Below are 25,255 nucleotides of genomic sequence, written 5' to 3'. Positions count from 1 at the left end.
GGCCACCACCCCGTCTGGGAAGTGAGGAGCGTCTCTGCCTGGCCACCCATCGTCTGGGACGTGAGGAGCCCCTCTGCCTGGCTGCCCAGTCTGGAAAGTGAGGAGCGTCTCTGCCCGGCCGCCATCCCATCTAGGAAGTGAGGAGCGCCTCTTCCCGGCCGCCATCCCATCTAGGAAGTGAGGAGCGTCTCTGCCCGGCCGCCCATCGTCTGAGATGTGGGGAGCACCTCTGCCCCGCCGCCCCGTCTGGGATGTGAGGAGCGCCTCTGCCCAGCTGCGACCCCGTCTGGGAGGTGAGGAGCGTCTCTGCCCGGCCGCCCCATCTGGGAAGTGAGGAGACCCTCCACCCGGCAGCCACCCCGTCTGGGAAGTGAGGAGCGTCTCCGCCCGGCAGCCACCCCGTCCGGGAGGGAGGTGGGGGTCAGCCCCCGCCAGGCCAGCTGCCCCGTCCGGGAGGGAGGTGGGGGGGCCAGCCCCCCGCCCTGCCAGCCGCCTGTCCGGGAGGGAGGTGGGGGGTCAGCCCCCCGCCCGGCCAGCCACCCCGTCTGGGAGGTGAGGGGTGCCTCTGCCCGGCCGCCCCTACTGGGAAGTGAGGAGCCCCTCTGCCCGGCCGCCCCTACTGGGAAGTGAGGAGCCCCTCTGCCCGGACAGCCGCCCTGTCTGGGAGGGAGGTGGGGGGGTCAGCCCCCCGCCCGGCCAGCCGCCCCGTCCGGGAGGTGAGGGGCGCCTCTGCCCAGCCGCCCCTACTGGGAAGTGAGGAGCCCCTCTGTCCGGCCAGCCTCCCCGTCCGGGAGGGAGGTGGGGGGGGTCAGCCCCCCGCCTGGCCAGTCGCCCCGTCCGGGAGGTGAGGGGTGCCTCTGCCCAGCCGCCCCTACTGGGAAGTGAGGAGCCCCTCTGCCCGGCCAGCCGCCCTGTCCGGGAGGGAGGTGGGGGGGTCAGCCCCCCTCCCGGCCAGCCACCCCGTCTGGGAGGTGAGGGGTGCCTCTGCCCAGCCGCCCCTACTGGGAAGTGAGGAGCCCCTCTGCCCGGACAGCCGCCCTGTCTGGGAGGGAGGTGGGGGGGTCAGCCCCCCGCCCGGCCAGCCGCCCCGTCCGGGAGGTGAGGGGTGCCTCTGCCCAGCCGCCCCTACTGGGAAGTGAGGAGCCCCTCTGCCCGGCCAGCCTCCCCGTCCGGGAGGGAGGTGGGGGGGTCAGCCCCCCGCCCGGCCAGCCGCCCCGTCCGGGAGGTGAGGGGTGCCTCTGCCCAGCCGCCCCTACTGGGAAGTGAGGAGCCCCTCTGCCCGGCCAGCCGCCCCGTCCGGGAGGGAGGTGGGGGGGTCAGTCCCCCGCCCGGCCAGCCGCCCCGTCCGGGAGGTGAGGGGCGCCTCTGCCCGGCCACCCCTACTGGGAGGTGAGGAGCCCCTCTGCCGGGCCACCACCCCGTCTGGGAGGTGTGCCCAGCAGCTCATTGAGAACGGGCCATGATGACAATGGCGGTTTTGTGGAATAGAAGGCGGGGAAAGGTGGGGAAAAGATTGAGAAATCGGATGGTTGCCGTGTCTGTGTAGAAAGAAGTAGACATGGGAGACTTTTCATTTTGTTCTGTACTAAGAAAAATTCTTCTGCCTTGGGATCCTGTTCATCTGTGACCTTACCCCCAACCCTGTGCTCTCTGAAACATGTGCTGTGTCCACTCAGGGTTAAATGGATTAAGGGCGGTGCAAGATGTGCTTTGTTAAACAGATGCTTGAAGGCAGCATGCTCCTTAAGAGTCATCACCACTCCCTAATCTCAAGTACCCAGGGACACAAACACTGCGGAAGGCCGCAGGGTCCTCTGCCTAGGAAAACCAGAGACCTTTGTTCACTTGTTTATCTGCTGACCTTCCCTCCACTATTGTCCTATGACCCTGCCAAATCCCCCTGTGCGAGAAACACCCAAGAATGATCAATAAAAAAAAAAAAAAAAAAAAAAAAAAAAAATCAAAGAAAAGTGGCCATATAGCCATCACTCGATAAAGAGGTGTTGAGGTCTTTTGGTTAAAAGGCCACATGGAATTGAAGTTATCAGTACCATTATCTCTGGGAGAAGCAGTCCTCCACAGGAACAATAACATGGTATTTGTAAGGTTTGAGCTTCTCCGCAGTGGTGCTTTGGGAGCTGCAGCACCTGCTCAGGATCCTGGGTGGTGGCTGGAAATGATATCCTAAAGAAATGATTTCCTCAAAGGGAAATGAGCTCCTGTTTTCCAGAGTGAAAGTTCCTCCCTGGACACTGGGATCTGCACCAGTTTTGAATGACTAAATGTCTTTTTAGAAGACTTTGACTCACTGGGTAACGTGGAGTGGAAAGTGCCCGCAGGATGTAGGACCTCTCTAACATCATCCCAGAATCAGCCTGTGCTCCCCGGGCTCATTCCCAAGTAGGTGAGGGAGACCAGGTGGGGATGGGTGCAGGTTATTGGGGCCTCCTTCCACTGTGAGAATCAGAGCACACCTTTATGACCCCTCTAAGCTTTAGTTTTTTATTCTGTGAAGAGAAATGAGAAGAAACTGGTTCTGAGTCATAAAACCTGCTGATGCTACATTCACAGGGTCTCAGCAAATAGACATGGATATAAAGATGAATGGTGCCTGATGCTGCCTTGAGGTGGATGAGGAGCAGGGAACCATGTGGTGCTGATGTCTGCCTATAACTGAGCCATGCTTCCCTCGCGGATGCAAATCCCTGCAGGGCTGGCAAGGCAAAAAACATTTCTCTTATGAGTGTTCTTTTCAAGGCCCAAAGAGAGGGCCAATTCTGCCTCAAGAGTAAGTAAGAGTGGCTGCTCCCCTCCACCCAACAGGATAGAAGTTGAAGGTAGTTGAAGTGATTCTAAAAAACCAAACTTATTTGGAATAGGAAGGAAATTTTTTAGAAACCAAAAATACATACTCTGTACAGTGATTCTCAGCTGCTTACCATGTGATTCACTTGTCTGAAAAAATAAGTTAATCTGTGTGATTTCTTTATTTATATCAGATAAAAATGTATATGCCACTTATTTTTAACTCAACAATATATCACATTCATTTCTCTATGGCAATACATATATAGATCTATGTTATCCTTTTTAAAACATTACTTATGTATTTATTTATTTAATTGATGAGTAAAAATCATATATATATGATATAAAATATGACGCTTGTGCAATGGCTAAATCAAGCTATTTAATATTTACATTAGCTCACACATATTTTTGTGATGAGAGCACTCAAAATCTACTCTCTTGGCAATTTAGAAGTATGTAATATATTCTTATTAACTGTAGATAATTAATGATCTGTCTACAGTCACCATCATGGTACAGTCACCATGATGTACAACAGATCTCTGGAACTTGTTCCTCCTGGCTGTGATGGCTACATAGGATTTCTTCATGTGGACATACCTATTGGTAGGCACTCAGCCTATCTCCAGGAGTATAACATTTTTCCAATTATAGATTTGGACAGTGATATACAAATATTCTCCCATATTTGTATTGCTATTGCTCTAGATTCTTGGGGGAATTGCTCCACCAATTAGTATACTATTTAAAACTTCTGTAAAGATTTCCAAATTATCCTCCAAGAAATCTGAACTAAATGACACTCACAGTGTGGGTCTTCCCCTCCTCCTGCCATCTTAGCCAACCCTGGATGGATCAGTGGAGAATTTACAGATTCAAATTCTTATAGGGATTTCTCTAAGGTAGAAGTCAATTCATTATGAAAATTGTTACCTTTGTCTTCAATATTTTTTTAAAAATGGTTTAGCACCATCTGTAATGATCTCTAGGGGATAATCGATTTATAAAAATATAATCCTGTGACAGTACACTTTTTCCCAAGGGTGGCCGGATATCAATCAAAGGAAAATATTGCTCCTTTTCCACCTTATCTCTCCATATTATACTATATGCAGGTTCAATGAAAACAAATTTTGAATGTTCTCAAGAAAATATCAGCTGGTGTCAATCTTCCCTTACCCTCCAATCACATGATTGTTCTTTCCAAATGCCTAAACGTGATTGGTTATTTATTGTTAAAACCCCAGTGTTTTAGTTCATAAATCAGATTATTGAGCAATAACTCCACAACTGCAGGCAGTAATTAGGGGCATGAGAAGCCTACATTGTTGCCATATGCATATTACCCAAAACATTGACCCTTTCCCAGTGCTTGAGATGACAACTGCAAGGAACTGAGGGGGCTTGGGGGATGAGGAGGTTGGGGTCAACAGGAAAGGCTGCAATGGCAGTAGCAAAAGGTCCCACAAGCCATCTCTTTTGCAGGTCTCTAGGATCATAACCATCTGCCTATCATAGCTGAGGATGAGGCATGAGAGGTCATGCAGCCCTGACCCAAATATGTGCACTGGGGTAAGAGGGAGCTAAGGCAAGAGGGTAAAAATGGAAAGTTTGTGAGTGGTGAACAGTTGAATAAGGTAAGAGAAGGCAATGGATCCTTGAAGACTTGACTCTAAATTGGTCTGATATATTCTCTGCCTTGTGAAGGAGTCCTAGCACTAAAAAGTCTTCAGGTGGGGATTCATAATTTTGTATTCACAGACCTCTTGGATTCATGGAAAGATTTCATAAAGCCTGTATTCATCAGGGTTCTCCAGAGAAACAGAACCAACAGGAAGTAGATAAAGGAAGAGAGATATAGTTACAGATAAATGTATTATTAAGAATTGGTGGGCTGGGCGCAGTGGCTCATGCCTGTAATCCCAGCACTTTGGGAGGCCGAGGCGGGCGGATCATGAGGTCAGGAGATCGAGACCATCCTGGCTAATATGGTGAAACCCCATCTTTACTAAAAATACAAAAATTAGCCAGGTGTGGTGGCGGGTGCCTGTAGTCCCAGCTACTCGGGATGCTGAGGCAGGAGAATCGCTTGAACCCTAGAAGCAGAGCTTGCAGTGAGCCCAGATCGCGTGACCACACTCCAGCCTGGGCGACAGAGCAAGACTCCATCTCAAAAGAAAAAAACAAAGAATTGCCTCACATGGTTATGGAAGTTGAGAAGTCCTAAGATGTGAAGTTGGCCAGGTAGACACCCTGGCAAGCCAATGGTATAGTTCTAGTCTAAAAGCTGACAGTCTCAAGACCCAAGAAGAGTAATGTCCCAGCTCACAATCAGGCAAAAGGAATTTCTTCTTACTCATGGAAGGGTCAGCCTTTTTGATTCATTCAGGCCTTTCATTGATCAGATGAAGGCCACCCATGCTAAGCAGAGCAATCTGCTTTCCTCAGTTTACTGATTCAAATGTCAATATCATCCAAAAACACCTTCACAGACACACTTAGAATAAAGTTGGAACACATATCTGGATGCCCCAGGGACTAGTCAAGTTGACACATGAAATTAACCAGAACAATTCAATTCTGCCCCTTGTCAACTTGGTGCCCATATGCATCTCCTGAAACCATACTCAATCTTCAAAGAAAGATAATCAGAAGGTCATAATTCTGATTAACCTGATACATACAATTGACAATGCACTAACCGTTTTCCTAGAAGACAAGGTAAGGTCTTTGAATGATGTTTCCTCTTTGATACCATGTAGCTTAAACACTAAGATATGAAATTAATTATATTTAAACACTATTATATAGTTGGAACATCTTATGTTACATGACTAAGGAATAAGAGAAAAAGAAAACAAACATATTTTATATATATATACACACACACACACATATGTGTGATAAGTAAACACACACAAAGTTTGTGTATTTGCCAATTCTACTAAAGACACACACAAAACGTTCATTTTAAATCTTTGAGTTTAGGCTTGATTTAGTGACTTGCTTACAATGAAAAGCATATGGCAGAAATAATGGAATGTCTCTTTTGAGCTTAGGTTACGAAAGACTTCAGCTTCTTTTTTGGTTGTTCTCTCTCTCTCTTTTGGACTGCTTTCCATAGGGAAAACCAACTGTCATATCATGAGGCAGCCTCATAAAGGGGCCCATGTGTTAAGAGACTGAAGTCTGCCAAAAACCACGTGTGTGAGCTTGGAAGCACATCCTGCAGCACCAGTTGAGCCTTCAGATGAAACAGCAGCCCCAGTCTGTAGTTTGACTGTAACCTTACAGACTGTGAGGCAGAGGCATCCAGCTAAGTTGGGCCCAGCTGCAATTACAAACTGATATAGCCATTCAGGTTTTTAAGGTTGTTTTTACCACTTCATAACCTGCCTACTCCTGACTTATACAATGCCTCCCTCCATGTATTCCCCAAAATATAGACATTCACCGAAGTCCTTCCTTGACCTTTCTTTCATGTTAACCACTTTTATAATATCAGCTTCCAATTCCATGTGGATGGATGACTTTGAAATATGTATCTGTTAACACTGAATTCTTTCCTGACTGGGCTATACTTCAAACTTTACATTTTTTTTTACTAGACCTACCTAGAAATCCTCTGGTACTTCAAACTTTACTAAAGACAAAATAAATGGTCTTTATCTTCATAACTGTTTTGCTTTCTGGGTTTCTCTTTTCTTTTCATGATATCACTTTAGCCTTGGCAGTGAAGTCACTGATATCATGAACAGAAGGGAGAGATCCAGGAAGCAAAACAATTATGAAGATAAAAACCGTTTGTTTTGTCTTTAGTAAAGTTTGAAGTACCACAGGAATCCCTTTAAAATAAGTTGTAACATCTGACATTTGTCATTTGTAAAATTAATGAGTATACTTTTTATGCTATCACCCAAGTCAATGAGAAAAAAAAATTACAGTAATATCAACTCAGGAGTGACTAACATGGATATTAAGTCATTGACCATGGTCAAAACCTTTGCTACTAACAGCCAAATAGGCTACTCTAGACTGCACCTTTTTAGGTTGTCTTGTGGTATTCATGAACTGTAACCATTTTAAGATGTTAAAAATTAAATCTTTCTTATGTAATTAAAAAAATAATCCTATAAACTCTTAAAAAAATCTTTGAGACCATAAAGAGGAAATAGACCCATATAATTAGGCATTCCCCATTCCCTGTATATGATCCCTTCAACATGCCAAAACCAGGGCAATCTCAATATGAGATTTGGAAGTTCTGCTGAGTTACTAAGTCCACTCTGGTACTTTATGTTTGTTATTTCTTGTGTCTTATTCCCTCCCCCATTAGTTGCTGCCTCCCTGACTTGGTCTCATTGTCCTCAAATCAGACCTGCAGCTACGGTCCAAAGCATCTGTAAACTTCATCCTCAAATGCACAGGATCCACTGAGGACCCAACTTGTACTGCTGAGAACTAACCTACCTTCTGAACAAGGAGTCTGATGTTTCTTTGGGATCATTGTTAGAATGCCAGATAAAATAACATGTAAGAGTTCATTGTAGATCACACAGTCTGATCCGAGGAAGCAATAATCCCTTCTTTTAAATGCATTTTCTAGTCACAGTGTCCTCTGTCCAGGTGCTGATCTCCCACTCTAGAAGGAGGAATCAGCAATGGCTGAAGGCACAGGTCTCCCAGGTTCACAGTCCCACTGCCGGGCAATTAAAAAGCCTTGGTACATCACACTCTGGGGACTGTTGTGGGGTGGGGGGAGGGGGGAGGGATAGCACTGGGAGATATACCTAATGCTAGATGACGAGTTAGTGGGTGCAGCGCACCAGCATGGCACATGTATACATATGTAACTAACCTGCACATTGTGCACATGTACCCTAAAACTTAAAGTATAATAATAATAATAATAATAAATAAAAAAGAATAAAATAAAATAAAATAAAATAAAAAGCCTTGGTGTTGGGGTGTTCTGCCTGAGTGTTTCCTTGGCCAGCATCCCAGATTTGTGGTTCACGGAGCAAGGTCCATACAAGGTCACCATTGCCAGGCTAATTATTGTCTACACTGGGGATGTGGCCTGTGAATCCTCTAAATCCACCCACAGTGCACAGTACCCTACTCCTCATGCACACTTCCAACTTCCAAATTTCTATGTGCTTCATGTAGAAAGTTACTGACATGCAACACTCAGGAGTAGTGTCAGGGATGGTTGCAAGACTCTGCGGAAGTGAGTAGAATTTGATTAAGAAATATGTGAAGTGGTAAACGAGTGAGTTTTTCCCCAAGTTCAAAGGGATAAATGAAACTAAATAATGATTTGAATGATATAAGAAACATGTTTTAGTTATATCAGAAGGACAAACAAAACTGTTACATATCCCATCTCCCCAACCAAAGCATCTTGAGGACAGAGACTTTGTTTTACAGTGTAGGGGTCCCCAGTATATGATAGACACCCAGTAAATACCATGGCAGAATGATAATTAGGCTAAGAGAAGAATTGTTGCTAATTTGGCTACAACTCCCCGGGACCCTGGCACTTTGCCCACAGCTCAGTGGGTCTCAGGTGGACTTGGGGAATTTCTCCTGCCCCCAGGACACAGGAATCCTAGACCCTCCTTGCTATCCTAGAGATGCTTAGAAGTGCCTCAGGGAACTTAGAACTCCTGTGTTCTTTAGAGAGTCCCCATCATCAGAAGCTAGCCAGTGTCCTCAGCAGCGGTCCTCTAAGGCCTCACCACTCCATTCTCAGGGGCCTGGTGGATTCTGGAACTCTGCCAGAGTCCTGCAGGACAATGCAAGAGGTCCATGTGGGTGGCATCTGGGCTGGCAAGCCACGGGCCACCAATCCTGCCTGAACCCATCAGTTTTCAAACACAGGGAGCTGGGACCTTCTTCTGCTGCCCCTCTCCCAGGGAACCATGGAGGGACAGTGAAGAGAAAGAGAAACAGCTTGAGGTGTGTGAGATTACTGGTACAAACTAGCATGAAGGGTATTTAAGGTAAGACTCAACAAAATATCTAATCTAGTGATATCAAGAATAACAGCATAGTGGCCGGGTGCGGTGGCTCACACCTGTAATCCCAGCACTTTGGGAGGCCAAGGCAGATGGATCATCTGACGTCAGGAGTTTGAGACCAGTCTGACCAACGTGGAGAAACACCATCTCTACTAACAATAGAAAAATTAGCCAGGAGTGGTGGTGCATGCCTGTAATCCCAGCTGCTTGGGAGGCTGAGGCAGGAGAATTGCTTGAACCCAGGAGGCAGAGGTTGTGGTGAGCTGAGATCATGCCATTGCACTCCAGCCTGGGCAACAAGAGCGAAACTCTGTCTCAAAAGTAAATAAATAAATAAATAAATAAATAAATAAATAAATAAATAAAAGAAAAGAAAAAGAAAAACAGCATAGTACAGTCATCTGGGACAATGCTGTTGCATTTCCCCTAGCATCTAAGGAATTTTTAGGCATTGCCACACCAGGCAACAAAGCCTTTCTGAAGTACCATGGGGAGTTGCCCACTCAGCAAGAATAGTTTGATCATTTTGCCCAATGATGAAAGGGAAGAAAATTGGGAACTTCTCTGAACTTGCATTTCTCGCTTATATTTTTTATTTTTCTTTTGGATTGTAGAAGCAGTGAGAACTATTTATGCTTTTTCTTTTTCCTACTTATTTTGATTGAGATAAATGGGGAAGTTGATAAATAAGAATGTTTTGCTGGAAATACTAAACGTTGATAACCATAATTACGGAATACTCCAAAGCTTCCATTTTAAAACCTGTTTGCATTTCAGACATGTCTGCACTAAAACAGTAAGTGGAAAAAAATGACAAACCAATAGAAGCAACAATTCCAGTGCCCTTTGACTTTATGAGTTTCCTACTCAATGGCAAAGGTTTGGGAAGAAGATAACTCAAGTCTCATTTCTGGTATGCATAAACTTTGGGCAAATTACTTTCAGTCTCGAAGGCTTGATTTTAACCACTATAGATGTGTATAACAGCAATGACCTCATAATTTTGTGTTAAAAATTAAATAAGATACCGTGAGTGTTGATATAATCACCCATCTCCAGAATTCCTCCTTTGAAAATAGACACACAATAGAACATTCTGTGACCTTAGAAAGGAAGGAAATCATGTCCCGTGCTGCCCCATGGATGAACCCTAAGGCCATTGTCCTAAGAGTAAGAGCATGGTCACAAAAAGGAAAATATTGTGTGAATCTACTTATACAAGTTATCTAAGGCAGCTAAGTTCATAGAAATAGAAAGTAGAGTGGTGATTAGTGGGAACTGGGATGGGGAGGAAAACAGGAGTTGTTGTTTAATAGGTGTAGTTTCCATTCTACAAGATGAAAAAGTTCTGAACATCTGTTTCTCAACAAGGTATTCAATTTTTTTATTCTTGTTTTAGAGGGATTTAAGGTACCTTTGGGATCAAAAATTTTAGGAGTACTGGAAAATTGGTGGTCATATAATTCATCCACTTATGAAGAGCAGGAATATTCTAATATCCAGCACACTTCTTACTTCTGTCTGGATTATACCTCCTGCCGTGTAGCAGTTAAGTACTTCCTTTCAACAAACATGCACCATTTGTAGTGCCAGGAAGGAAATACATTTTCTCTTCCCTCTTAGGTTCACTGACTGGGAGGCTCTGCAAGTTTGACTCACAAGAGACAGATTAACAGGAGAAAATAATAGAAAGTTTACTAATATTTTACATACACAGGAGTTCACAGAAAGGAAAGGAAAGTCAAAGAAATGGCTAAACTCAGAGGCTTATGTGCCATTTTAACAAAGGAAAGAAGATTTGGGCTTTGAGGAATGATTAATTGTGGAAAAGTGACTAGGAAAACTATGTGGGAACTAATGGATTATCCTGCTTATTTAGGGAGGCTTGTTTATGCAGACTTATTTTGGTGTTGGCTCTCTGTCCCTGGTGACAAGTGTTCCCTCTCCTCATCCTGGTACAGGAGAGGGGGAAATCCATGCCACCTTAACAAAGGGAAATTTATGCCCGGGTTTTAGGCATCCGAGGGGAGAGCAGAGAAATAATCTTCTATCTATTGATTTTTAGTTTCTTTACACTCAAAATAATCCTTAAAATGGCATGCTCTGGGGCAAGGGGGGTGGAAGGGGAGGTGTCATGGTCGTTTTCACGAGCTGGATGCTGATTCTTCTTTGAATGCTCGCTAGTGTCCTTAAAATGTCACCCCCACCCGCACCCCCAGGCTCAAGCACAATATTCCAGACATGACACCATGAAATAGGCATTAACAGCACTATTTCCTCCTTTATCTTGCTTTTTAATCTCATTATTGCAAACTTTTAAAGTGTCCAAATCACGTTGATAACCATCTCAAAGTGACCAGCAACCAAAAACTAAGACTTTTTTTTTTAAGGACACTACTAAACCATTTCTACTTTTTTCTTGTAGTTGCATCACATGAATATGGCTACATATATTTTTGTTTTACTTTTGTTACTTTTTTATTTTTATTTTTTCTGACTCTTTGGCTACATATATTTTTAGATAAAATTTGACACACATACATATATTTAATCTCAACATAAGGCTTTACATTTACGCACAGTAAATTTTATTCTATTAGTTTTAAACTTTCTAGGGTTTGGAAGTCCTCTTCTTTCTGCCTTTCTGTTTAAAATCCTGATTCTTTTATTCACGGTGCATGCCCTCTGTCATGGGCATTTGTTGTTCTGCCTCCCTGGTGAAGCCATCCTGGTTTCCTGTGGAGATTGCTTTTCACAGAGCAATCCATGTGCTGTAGCTGAGGTGACCATCCCTCTCATCCTGAGGCCAGCATGGGACCCAGGCAGGGCCAAGCAGCACCAGCCCAGACACAACTGGGAAACCCACTTTCCTCCAAGGAGGATAAAAAGTGAGCCTGGCTGGGAGTGTGTGCAAAACAGAGGACAGTAGGTCCTGAAGGTGGGAAGAGATGGAGTGCTGATGACGATCTGTGAGCCCTGCATCCAGCCAGGTCTGTGCCACCCAGGTCCTCCTCTTGCATAAGTAGCTTCAACATTGGTTTCTGTCTCTTTCAGTCAACAGACTTGTCTTATAGAGCATCCCTTCAATGGTCACTGAAGCTTCGACAAATCATTTTCTTATAGGAGGGGCTGGTGTTAACAAGGGGCCCAGGGAATTAGTTCCAGAGCTGTGTTTCCCCAACAAAAACAGTTTTTGTCTTTCATGTTTGTTTGGGTGGCTTAGTGGGGTGGGATGGATTTTTGTGTGTGCCCTCAAGCACATCTACAGTGAACTCATGTTTTACAAAGTTGCCAAGAACAAACATTGGGGAAAAGACAGTTTCTTTAATAAATGGTGCTGGAAAAACTGAATATCCATGCAGAAAAATGAAACTAGACCCCTATCTCTCACTATATACAAAAATAAAATCAAAATGGCTAAAATTCGAAACCTGAAACTATGAGACTACTACACAAAAACATTGGGGAAACTCACCAGGACGTTGGTCTGGACAAAGATTTCTTGAGTAACACCCCACAAGCACAGGCAACCAAAGCAAAAATAGGCACATAGGATCATACCAAGTTAAAAAGCTTCTGCACAGCAAGGAATACAGTCAATAAAGTGAAGAGGCAACCCATAGAATAGGAGAAAATATTTGCAAACTACCCATCTGATAAGGGATTAATAACTAGAATATATAAGGAGCTCCAACAATTCTATAGGAAAAAAGTCTAATAATCTGATTAAAAAATTGGCAAAAGATCTGAATAGACATTTCTCAAAAGAAGACATACAAATGGCAGGCTGGGTGTGATGGCTCACGCCCATAATTCCAGCACTTTGGGAGGCCAAGGCTGGCATATCACTTGAGGCCAGGAGTTCAAGACCAGCCTGGCCAACATGGTGAAACCTCATCTGTACTAAAAATACAAAAATTAGCCAGGTGTGGTGGCACACGCCTGTAATCCCAGCTACCTGGGAGGCTGAGACAGGAGAATCACTTGAACCTGGGAGGTGGAGGTGGCAGTGAGCCGAGATCACGCCACTGCACTCCAGCCTGGGCAACTGGGCAACAGAGTGAAACTCCATCTCAGAAAAGAAGAAGAAGAAGAAGAAGAAGAAGAAGAAGACATACAAAAGACAAACAGGCATATGAAAAGGTGCTCAACGTCACTAATCATCAGAAAAATGCAAATCAAAACTACAAGGTGGTGTCATCTCACCCCAGTTAAAATGGCTTATATCCAAAAGACAAGCAAAAACAAATGCTGGAGAGGATGTGGAGAAAACATAACCCTTGTACCCTGTTGGTGGGGATGTAAATAAGTACAACCACCGTGGAGAACAGTTTGGAAATGCCTCAAAAAACTAAAAATAGAGCTACCATACGATCCAGCAATCCCATTGCTAGGTATTTACCCAAAAGAAAGGAAATCAGCATATCGAAGAGATATCTGCACTCCCATGTTTGTTGCAGGATAGCCAAGATTTGGGAGCAATCTAAGTGTCCATCAACAGATGAATGGATAAAGAAAATATACATATACACAATGGTACATATACACAAAGCACTACTATTTCAGCCATAAAAAAGAATCAAATCTGTCATTTGCAACAACATGGATGGAACTGGAGGTCATTATTTTAAGTGAAATAAGTCAAGCACAGAAGTACAAACTTCACATGTTCTCACTTCTTTGTGGAGCTAAACATTAAAACAAGTGACCTCATGGAGATACAGGGTAGAAGGATGGTTACTAGAGGCTGGGAAGGGTAGTGGGAGTGTCAAGGGAAGTGGGGATGGTTAATGGGTACAAAAAAATAGAAAGAATGAAACAAACCTAGTATTTGATAGCACAACAAGGTAACAGTAGTCAATAATAATTTACTTGCATGTGTAAAAATAACTAAAAGAATATAATTGGATTGTTTATAACACAAAGAAAGGATAAATGCTTGAGGAGATGGATACTCCATTTACTCTGATGTGATTATTACACATTGCGTGCCTGTATCAAAATATCTCACATAGCCCATAAATATATACACTTATTATGTACCCACAAAAATTACAAAGTAAAAAAGCATTTAAAGTACCTTCAAGCTTCCTGTAAGCGTCACCACCATATTCATTCAAATGACTGATAAATCTCATTGAGAGATCCAGTCAAGGACACACCCCAATTACTTGCCACCAGAAACCAAGTGCAAATTGACAGTAACGAACACTGTTTTATTTAACTGTGCCTTAGCCTTCTTTTGTTCAGGAAATCTTTTTAGCCTTCATGTTGTAAGATTTTCTCTTTAAAGTTTCAACAAAACTTCAGAAAAATTTATCCCCTTAATTTATTCCTGTTATTAAAACTTTCTTTTCTAAGTATAAGTGGGACCTTAAACCCCATTACCAAATCATTATGGTGGGATTACACTACAGATTCCAATGATCACAAGAATACTGTGGCCAGACACAGTGGCTCATGCTTGTAATCCTAGAACTTTGGGAGCCTGGGAAGTGGAGGTTGCATTGAGTCACGATCACGCTACTGCACTCCAGCCTGGGTGACAGAACCAGAAACCCTATTTCAAAAAAAAAGAACACTGCTTTCCCACCTAATAAGTACTTTTAGAAGTTACATTAGGAAAACTGACTGTTCTCACAAGGGTTCTAGAACCCATGAGTTTGAAAATTGTCTTTAATATGTATTAGGTTTGTGCAAACATAATTGCGGTTTTGCCATTTAAAAGTAACGACAAAAATCGCAATTACTTTTGCACCAACCTAATACATTGTCAGAAACATTTGGGATAAACTTAATATATAATAACATGTAGTATGTTTATATTAACATATAATAATGAGCAGTTTTTTAACTTTATTTTTGTTTTTTATTTTTCTTTTTTTTTTAATTATTTTAAGTTCTAGGGTACATGTGCACAACATGCAGGTTTGTTACATATGTATACATGTGCCATGTTGGTGTGCTGCACCGGTTAACTCGTCATTTACATTAGGTATATCTCCTAATGCTATCCCTCCCCTCTCCTCCCACCCCACGACAGGCCCCAGTATGCGATATTCTCCGCCCTGTGTTCATGTGTTCTCATTGTTCAATTCCCACCTATGAGTGAGAACATGCAGTGTTTGGTTTTCTGTCCTTGCGATAGTTTACTGAGAATGATGGTTTCCAGCTTCATCCATGTCTCTACAAAGGACATGAACTCATCCTTTTTTATGGCTGCATAGTATTCCGTGGTGTATATGTGCCACATTTTCTTAATCCAGTCTACCATTGATGGACATTTGGGTTGGTTCCAAGTCTTTGCTATTGTGAATAGTGCCGCAATAAACATACGTGTGCATGTGTCTTTATAGCAGCATGATTTATAATCCTTTGGGTATATGCCCAGTAATGGGATCACTGGGTCAAATGGTATTTCTAGTCCTACATCCTTGAGGAATCGCCACACTGTCTTCCACAATGGTTAAACCAGTTTACAGTCCCACCAACAGTGTAAAAGCGTCCTATTTCTCCACATCCTCCCCAGCACCTGTTGTTTCCTGACTTTTTAATGATCGCCATTCTAACTGGTGTGAGATGGTATCTCATTGTGGTTTTGATTTGCATTTTCTGATGGCCAGTGATGATGAGCATTTTTTCATGTGTCTGTTGGCTACGTAAATGTCTTCTTTTGAGAAGTGTCTGTTCATATCCTTCACCCACTTTCTGATGGGGTTGTTTGATTTTTTCTTGTAAATTTGTTTAAGTTTTTATAGATTCTGAATATTAGCCCTTTGTCAGATGGGTAGATTGTAAAAATTTTCTCCCATTCTGTAGGTTGCCTGTTCACTCTGATGGTAGTTTCTTTTGCTGTGCAGAAGCTCTTTAGTTTAATTATGAGCAGTTTTATAGCCATAGACTCCTATGTGCAAAAATGCATATTCTTGACCCTTCCCCTGTCTCCCATCCCCTACCTCTGTGGCTCAGGGACTCACACCCAAAGGTGACTTCTCTGCTCTCCTTTCAAATCCTTCTCATGTTCTGAACCTTCTCTAGGCTGGGGCAGAAACTGCTGTCTTTTGTTCATAGAATAAACTCCTTTAATGCTCTTTGTAATTTATTTATTTGAAATAGTTGCTTTATAAATCATTGCAAATGTCATAATTGTTAGCAATTTATCAAACTGTAGTTAACTGGTGCAGTTTGTTGAGCATATTTTATAAAGGAAAAGAAAGGAAATGCCAAAACCCTGGTAAAGTTGTTTTATTGCAGCCCAGGAGAACTAAGATTTGTTTCTCAGACACTTAAATCAGGCAAACAAAAACAGGTAAAGAGTCCTGAAGCCCCCATCTGAAGCACTTCATCAGTAGAAATAGTTTGATAAGTAATGTCACCACCCAAGGGGTTCACCTTGCCCACTGTTTAGACAGAGCCAATTTCTCAAGACAGGGGAATGGCAATAGAGAAAGAGTAATTCACAAAGAACCGGCTGTGTGGGAGACCAGAGCTGTATTATCACTCAAATTAGTCTCCCAGAAGAGCACTTGGGGAGCATAGTTTTTAAGGACAACTTGGTGGGTGGGGAGAGGCCAATGAGCCAAGACTGCTGATTGGTCAGAGAAGAAATAATAGGGAGTCGAAGCTGTCTTCTGTGCTGAGTCAGTTCCTGGGTGGGGCCACAAGGTCAGATGAGACAGTTTATTAATCTGGGTGGTGCCAGCTGATTCATTAAGTGCAGGGGCTGCAAAATATCTCACGCACTGATCTTAGGAACAGGTTAGGGAGGGTCAGAATCTTGCAGCCTCCAGCTGCATGACTCCTAAACCATAATTTCTAATCTTGTGGCTAATGTTAGTCCTGCAAAGGCAGTAGTCCCCAGGCAAGGAGGAAGTCTGCTTTGGGATAGGGCTGTTATCGTCTTTGTTTTAAACTATAAACTAAGTTTCTCCCAAAGTTACTTCAGCCTACACCCAAGAATGAACAAGGACAGCTTGGAGGTTAGAAGCAGGATGGAATCAATTCAGTTAGATCTCTTTCACTGTCTCAGTCATAATTTTGCAAAGGTGGTTTCAGTAACTAGACAGTCTTTGTATTCAAGAGAATCCACAACATGTGATGTTATAATGGAGAGGCTTACCCTCTTCAGATTCAAAGTTGGAAGGCTTTGGTCATTTAATTTTAATCAAACTAGTGCTTTTCAGCCACAGTATCTTCACTCTGGCATAAGCAGTCTTCTTCACAATGTATTTTTAATAGCCTCACATTCAATTTTAAGACAAAGCAATTTTCATACTAGGTGCATGCCACATGCCCTTGCTGCAGCTGCTTTTCTTGACAAGTTATGAAGTAGTTCAAGGAGGTATGGTTAAGGCTGTATTACTGAATAGTGCTGTTGAGTACTACACAATTTATTTTGTCTTGTTGCAGCCTTTTGTTTCCAATTTTCAGTGACTGCCGCTATGAAATCTGAAACCAAAAATGACATTATTAGGTTTGCTTTGTTTTGGACTATGATTTAGTAGCAATTGAGGTTCCTGATTTTAACCCCTTGGCAGCAAGATCCAAGCTCCCTCATTTGCACGTTAACACCTAAGTGTCAAGGGGTTAAATAACCAGCACGAAAGAGACTGCACTTTGGATTGTAGCATTTGGCAGAACTGAAAGGAAAGGAAGTTGTGCTGTGCGTTGAAGGGGTCGTGGGCAACATAAAGATGACACCAGGAAAAGATGCAATGTCACATGACATTTTCATAGTCTTGTGCATACCCTGCATCATCACCACCATAATTTACCAGATCATTTGTCATGGTGGCTTTTAATCTCCCTCCAGGAACCATACCTTTGTTCTTCTTTTTGGCTTGGCTTTGCTTGCTTCTGTTTTTCACTTCAAAGCACAATGTATTGAGAACCTTTTTCAAGTCATCAGTTTCCAATGACATACACACATCTCCAACTAAGACTTCCAAAAAACTGGCATAATATAGTGACTTTTTATTTTGTGTAATTTTATCTTTTAGTAACTTTCCAAACTCTGTAAGGTCATCCCTTGAAGATGGGTTTACAGCATCCGATCCATATACAGTAGTCTTAACACCAAAAGTTGCCTTTGCTAATTCCATGTCTGACTCTTCCTGTGATTTCTCCAGCTGCGGTTTATCTGCTAATTGTTCCTCTGGTGTTAGCAGCTGGAGTTCTTCAGGTTCTTCTAACCCCTTTTTAATTTCTTCCTGCCCTTTCTTCTGTTGCCGTTCTTTCTTTTATCTTCTCTGTTAGTTTTTTCTTTTCTAAAATGTTTATTTCTGCTTCCTCTTTTTTCTTTTTCCTGTCATCACCATCATCCCAGTTATCCCAGACGTCCTCATCCTCGTCCTCTTCCTTGCTTTTGCAGCGGTCCCCCACCTCCTTCACGGGGCTTCCACAGACAATTTTTCTGCACCCCAGGAGTCAGAGTTCCTCTGCCGTTGCCAGAATTAAAAAACAAGCAAACGAACAACAAAACAAAAATAATTTTTTCGCTCTCAATGAGTCTGGTCTTCTGAAAGTCAAATTTTTTTTAGCTATTTAGAATATTATCTCTGCTGCAATTTTCCCCTAACATTATATTATGCAAATATTCAAACATACAATAAAGTTGAAAGAATTTTTACAGTGAATACCATATATCTACCTCCAAGATTTTATCATTAACATTTTAATCTTTGTTTTAATTCACATCTGTAGATCTATTTTTGCCTCTATCTGTCCATTAGTTCATGTTATTTTTCACGTGTTTTCAAGAAATTTGCAGGTAGTGCTTCCTCCTAAATACTTTAGCGCGCATATCATTAACAAGGGTTTAATACTTGTTTTAAAATCCTAGTTTTACCATAAAATTTACATTGATTGAAATGCACAAATCTGAGGTGTATGTTCTTTGAGTTTTGACAATTGCATATACCAGTACGACCCAAGTCCCTATCAAGACATACAACTTACTGTTATTCCAGAAAGTTCTCTCATGCCCCTTTCCTGTCTAAAGCACTGCTATAATTTCTTTTGTGTAGTATCTCATATTTTTAATGTGCAATTCTATGAAATTAGAGCAATTTGTAAAAAAATTAGGTATTCTTTGTTTGTTTTTAAAATTAATAAACATAATTTTTAAGAGCTAAGTTTTGTTCCTATCAAAATTGGGTGGAAAGAACAGGAAGTTCCACGCCCTTCTTCTCCAAACCCCTACAACCTCTCCTCCTCCACCACTATCAACATATGCACCAGAGTAGTCCATTTCCTACAGTCCAAGAACCTACAGTGACTCACCATTATCATCCAAAGTTCATAATAAACACTAGGGTTCACTCTTGGTGTTGTGCATTCGATGGGTTTTGACAAATGTATGAGGACATGGATTCACCATTATAGTATCACACAGAATAGTTTCACTGACCTAAAAATCTTCCGTGCACTCCCTATTCAGCCCTTCCTACTTCCTAATCTCTGGCAACGATTGATGATTTCACTGTTTCCATAGTTTTGCCTTTTCCAGAAAGACATATAGTTGGAATACAGTATGTAGCCTGGATTCTTTCATTAGTAATACACATTTAAGTTTCCTTCATATCTTTTCATGACTTAAGAACTCATTTCTTTTTATGGCTGAATAATATTTCATTGGCTGGATTTACTACATTTATTTATCCATTCACTTACTGAAGGACTTCTTGATTACTTCCAAGTTTGGGCAATTATGAATACAGCTGTTATAAATGCTCTTGTGCAGATTGTGGAGTCCTAATTGGGAAAGGGTAGTCAGGCTGGCAGGATGGAGGGAAAGCAAAAAAAGAAAGCAGATAAGCTATGAGTTTGCCTTTTCTTCATGGTCCAGGACGCACAGTCCTCCTGCACAAATAACTTACAATCTTCCTGCACCCAGCTATCACCAGACCCTTGGCTGATAGAAAAATGCAAATGAGCTCACTGCAATTTTGGCGTTATCAGCACTGCACAAAGCCCACTTCAGCACCCAGCACAAACACCATTCCACAAAATCCGTGGTAAGCTTTTGTCTCCTGGCAGTCAGCTCCTCTCTTGCTGCCCTGCCTGTTGCACCCTTGCAACATGTGTTCCTACTTTCTCTAGTAAATCTGCCTTTCTTTACCTACAATTGCCTTGGTAAATTCTTTTACCACCTGTGCCATGGCCCAGATAGTCACCACTCACCATTATACAGGTTTTTGTGTGGACACAGTTTTCAATTCATTTGGGTAAATACTAATGAGTGGGATTGCTGGATTGTGTGGTAAGAGTATGTTAAGATTTATTTTTTTAAAAAACTTCCAAACTGTCTTCCAAAAAGGTTGTACCATTTTGCATTCCAAACAGCGATAAATGAGACTGTCTTTCCTCCACATCCTCACCAATATTTGGCATTGTTGGTGTTTTGGATTTTGGCCATCACGGTATGTGTGTAGTGGTATCTCATTGTTGTTTTCATTGGCATCTCCATGATGAAATATGACATGGAGCATCTCTTCATATGCTCATTTGCCACCCATATATTTGGTAAAGTGTCTGTTCAAGACAATTGTCCATTATGTAATTGGGTTGTTCTTCTTATGGCTGAATTTCGAGAGCCCTTTTTATATTTTCTTTTCTTTTCTTTTTTTTTTTTTTTTGAGATGGAGTTTCACTCTTGCTGCCCAGTCTGGAATGCAGTGGCACTGTCTCGGCTCACTGCAACCTCCACCTCCTGAGTTAGTTCAAGCAATTCTCCTGCCTCAGCCCCTGGAGTAGCCGGGATTAAAGGTGCCCACAACCACACCTGGCTAATTTTTTGTATTTTTAGTAGAGATGGGGTTTCATCATGTTGGCTAGGCTGGTCTCAAACTCCTGACCTCATGTGATCCACCTGCCTTGGCCTCCCAAAGTGCTGGGATTATAGGCGTGAGCCACCGTGCCTAGCCTATATTTATTTCCTTTTTTAAAAAGTTTTATTTTATTTTAAGTTATGGGATTCATGTGCAGGATGTGCAGGTTTGTTACATAGGTAAATGTGTACCATGGTGGTTTGCTGCACCTATCAACTGATCACCTAGGTATTAAACCCAGAATCCGTTAGCTATTCTTTCTGATGCTCTCCCTCCTCCCACCCCCCTGACAGGCCCCGTTGTGAGTTGCTCTCCTCCCTGTGACCGTGTGTTCTCATTGTTCAGCTCACACTTATAAGTGAGAACATGCAGTGTTTGGTTTTCTGTTCTTGTGCTAGTTTGCTAAGGATAATGGCTTCCAGCTTCATCCATGTCCCTGCAAAGGATGTGATCTCATTCCTTTTTATGGCTGTATAGTATTCCATGATGTATATGTACAACTTTTTTTAATCCAGCCTATCATTGGTGGGCATTTGAGTTGATTCCATGTCTTTGCTGTTGTGAATAGTGCTGCAGTGAACATATGCATGCATGTATCTTTATAATAGAATGATTTATATTTTGGGGGGTATATACCCGGTAATGGGATTGCTGGGTCAAATGGTATTTCTGGTTCTAGATCTTTGAGGAATCGCCACACTGTCTTCCACAATGGTTGAACTAATTTACATTCCAACCAACAGTGTAAAAGTGTTCCTATTTCTCCACAGCCTCGCCAGAGTCTGTTGTTTCTTGACTTTTTGATAATCGCCATTCCAACTGGCATGAGATGATATCTCATTGTGATTTTGATTTGCATTTCTCTAATGATCAGCGATGTTGAGCTTTTTTTCATATGTTTGTTGGCTGCATAAATGTCTTCTTTTGAGAAATATCTGTTCATGTCCTTTGCCCACTTTTTAATGGGGTTGTTAGTTTTTTCTTGTAAATTTGTTTAAGTTCTTCAAACATTCTGGATATTAGACCTTTGGCATATGGATAGATTGCAAAAATTTTCTCCCACTCTGTAGGTTGTCTGTTTACTCTGATGATAGTTTCTTTTACTGTGCAGAAGCTCTTTAGTTTAATTAGATCCCATTTGTCAAGTTTTGCTCTTGTTGCAATTGCTTTTGATGTTTTCATTATGAAATCTCTGCCCGTGCCTATGTCCTGAATGGTATTGTCAGATGTTTCTTTATTTTTTAATTTTTATTTTATTTTATTTTTTTTTGAGATTGAATCTCGCTCTGTCACCCAGGCTGGAGTGCAGTGGTACGATCTCGGCTCACTGCAAGCTCTGCCTCCCAGGTTCACGCCATTCTCCTGCCTCAGCCTCCCGAGTAGCTGGGACAACAGGCACCTGCCACCACGCCCGGCTAATTTTTTGTATTTTTAGTAGAGACGGGGTTTCACCATGTTACCCAGGGTGGTCTCGATATCCTGACCTCGTGATCCACCCGCCTTGGCCTCCCAAAGTCCTGGGATTACAGGCGTGAGCCACTGTGCCTGGCCCAGATGTTTCTTTTGCAAATATTTTCTCCCAGTCAGTGGTTTGTCTGATTATTCTCTTGACTGTCTTTCATGGAGTAGTTTTTAATTCTACTAAAGTCCAACTTATCAATTATTTATTTCATGGATTGTACTTTAGTATTATATCTAAAAAGCCATCGCCATACCCAAGGTAATCTAGATTTCCTCCTATGTTATCCTCTAAGAGTTTTATAGTTTGGTGTTTTACATTTGGATGTATGATCTATATTAATTTTGTGAAGCATGAAATGTCTGTGTCTAGATTCATGTTTTTGAAAGTGGATGCCAAGTTGTTCCAGCAAAAAAAAAAAGACTATCTTTTCTTCATTGTATTGCCTTTGCTCCTTAGTAAAAGATCAGTTGACTATATTTACGTGGGTCTGTTTCTGAGCTCACTTTTGTCCCATGGATGATTTGTCTATTCATTCTCCAAAATCATTCTTTTTTGTTTATTGTAGCTTTATAGGAAGTCTGGAAACCCTGCAGTCTATGTCCTCTGAATTTGTTCTCCTTCAGTGTTGTGTTAGTTATTCTAGATTCCTACCTCTCCATAACAAATTTAGAATCAGTTTGTTCTGCAAACAGCAGAACTAATTGCCAAACTAATTGCAAGAATTTTGATTGAAATTGCAGAGTCTATAAATGAAATGGGAAAAAAAATAAAGTCCTGCTAATATTGAGTCTTCTTATTAATTAACATGAGATATCTTTTTAGCTCTTTGATTTGTTTCATTAGGGTTTTGTCATTTTCCTCATATAAATCTTATACATTTGTTGTTAGATTGATACCTAATTATTTCATTTGTGTGGTGCTTGCATAAATGGTATTGTGTTTTAATTTCAAATTCCACTTGTTCATTGCCGATATATAGGAAAGGAAATGACTTTTGGACATTAATCTTGTATCCTAGAACCTTGCTGTAACCACTTATTAGTTCCAACAGGTTTTTGTTGATTCTTCTGGATTCTCTAGGTCATCTGCAAACAAAGACAATTTTATTTCTTCCTTGCTAATCTATAGACATATATTTATTTTTCATGTTTTATTGCATTATCTAAGACTTCCAGTACTATGCTGAAAAGGAGTGGTGAAAGGGGACATTTTTGCCTTGCTCCTGATCTTAGTAATAAAGATTTTATTTTGTCAAAATCACGTTATCTACAGGTTTGTTATAGATGTTATTTATCAAGGAGAGGAAGTTCCCCTCCATTACTAGTTTGCTAAGAATTAGCATTACTTTTTTTTTTTTTTTTTTTGAGACGGAGTCTTGCTCTGTTGCCCAGGCTGGAGTGCAGTGGTGCGATCTTGGCTCACTGCAAGCTCTGCCTCCTGGGTTCATTCCCCTGCCTCAGCCTCCCGAGTAGCTGGGACCACAGGGGCCCACTACCACGCCTGGCTAACTTTTTGTATTTTTAGTAGAGACAGGGGTTTCACCGTGTTAGCCAGGATGGTCTCGATCTCCTGACCTCGTGATCCACCCACCTCGGCCTCCCAAAGTGCTGGGATTACAGGCGTGAGCCCCCGCGCCCGGCCGAATTAGCATGACTTTTGGATGCTTGGAATTTTCCACTTACTCTCTACCTTCTCTGTCTGTTGTTGCATGTTGTCATTTGATCTATTAGCCCTTATCATAATAGTCATAGTTATTTTAAATTCCTGGTCTGATGTTTCTGACATTCATGACATATCTGATTCTGGTTCTGATGCTTGCTTTGCCTCTTCTAGTTGTGACTTTTGCCTTTTAGTATAGCTTTTAATATTCTTTAGAAAGAGGGTTATGGTGTACCAGGTAAAAGAAACACTGGTAAATAAGCCTTTGGGAATGCGCTGGAAATATGTAGAGGGAGGAGAAGTATTCCTTAGTCCTATGAGTGGGTCGCAGTCTTTTAATCAACCTAACCATGTCCCTGGGCTGTGGAATTCACAAGTGCTTCTCGGGTTTTCCATTTTTAGGTGAGACAGGATGGCTAGAGTGAACTGGAGTTGATTATTACCCTTCTCCATATGGAAGGCTGAAGCAGGCTGCAGCTGGGTATTTCCATCCCCCAGTTCAGTTAGGTTTTGATGAAACCCCAATAGGTCAGCTTTGACTTAAAAAAAAAAAATGGCTAAGCGTGGTGGCTCATGCCTGTAATCCCAGCACTTTGGGAAGCCAGGATGGGAGAATCACTTGAGGTCAGGACTTCAAGACCAGCCCGGCCAACATGTCTCTACTAAAGCCCGGTCAAACTAAGCTCTACTAAGCCCGGTCAAACTCTGTCTCTACTAAAAATACAAAAATTTGCTAAGTGTGGTGGCGCGCGCCTCTAATCCTAGCTACTCAGGAAGCTGAGACATGATAATCCCTTGAAACCGGTAGGCAGAGGTTACAGTGAGCCGAGACCGCACCACTGCACTCCAGACTGGGAGACAGGGCAAGACTCCGTCTCAAAAAAAAAAAAAAAAAAAAAAAAAAAAAAAAAAAAAAAGTTTTTCTTGAGGAGAGGCCTCGTTAAGAAGAACAGAATGCTCTGGCATATTTTCAAATCATGACGCCCCCTCCCGCCCCACCACACATACCTGAATCATGAGGGAATTTGTCTTAGATTTCTACTTTGAGAACCTGGTAGAGCTATTGGAGCTCTACAACTTGAGGAGCCCCTCTAAGGCACAACTCCTAGAATTTTAACTCTCAGACTTGTCCACATGGACCTGTGGCAATTCCTCAGTTACAGCTTGGTTTTCCTTACTAAGCACTTGTTCCTGTGGAAATCTCTGCTCATAAATTTCTCCTTCTGTAAGCTGTGATTCTTGACATTCATTTCTCTAATTATTAAGGCAGTGGTTTGCTGTGTGTCTTCACTTGTCTGATGATTCTAAGAAGAGTTGTTGATTTTTCAATTTGTTCAGCTTTTTACTTGTGAGTGGATGGTTACAACTTCAAAACTCCTTCCACGTTGTAATGGAAACAGGAAGTCTCTGCTATGGTTTTTCAGAAGAATTAACCACCCAAAGCTCGGGATTTGCTCTTGCTCCTACTTATA

At 42.1% G+C, this 25,255-nt stretch overlaps 1 long non-coding RNA gene and 1 pseudogene across 2 annotated transcripts; one reads left to right on the top strand and one right to left on the bottom strand.

Moving 5' to 3' along the window:
- Positions 1 to 248: 248 nt before the first annotated feature.
- On the top strand, positions 249 to 7,752 carry LOC124902198 (uncharacterized). 2 transcript variants are annotated; one of them, XR_007061644.1, is made up of 2 exons: positions 249 to 293; positions 7,148 to 7,752. It is a non-coding gene; the product is annotated as an uncharacterized LOC124902198 (long non-coding RNA). The 2 variants fall into 2 exon arrangements; XR_007061643.1 differs by lacking the exon at positions 249 to 293 and adding an exon at positions 2,213 to 2,400.
- EIF3JP3 (EIF3J pseudogene 3) lies at positions 15,936 to 18,282 on the bottom strand (annotated as a pseudogene).

Source organism: Homo sapiens, chromosome 9, assembly GCF_000001405.40.
Source record: "Homo sapiens chromosome 9, GRCh38.p14 Primary Assembly".
Lineage (NCBI taxonomy): Eukaryota > Metazoa > Chordata > Mammalia > Primates > Hominidae > Homo > Homo sapiens.
This window is presented reverse-complemented; position numbering and strand designations above follow the sequence as displayed.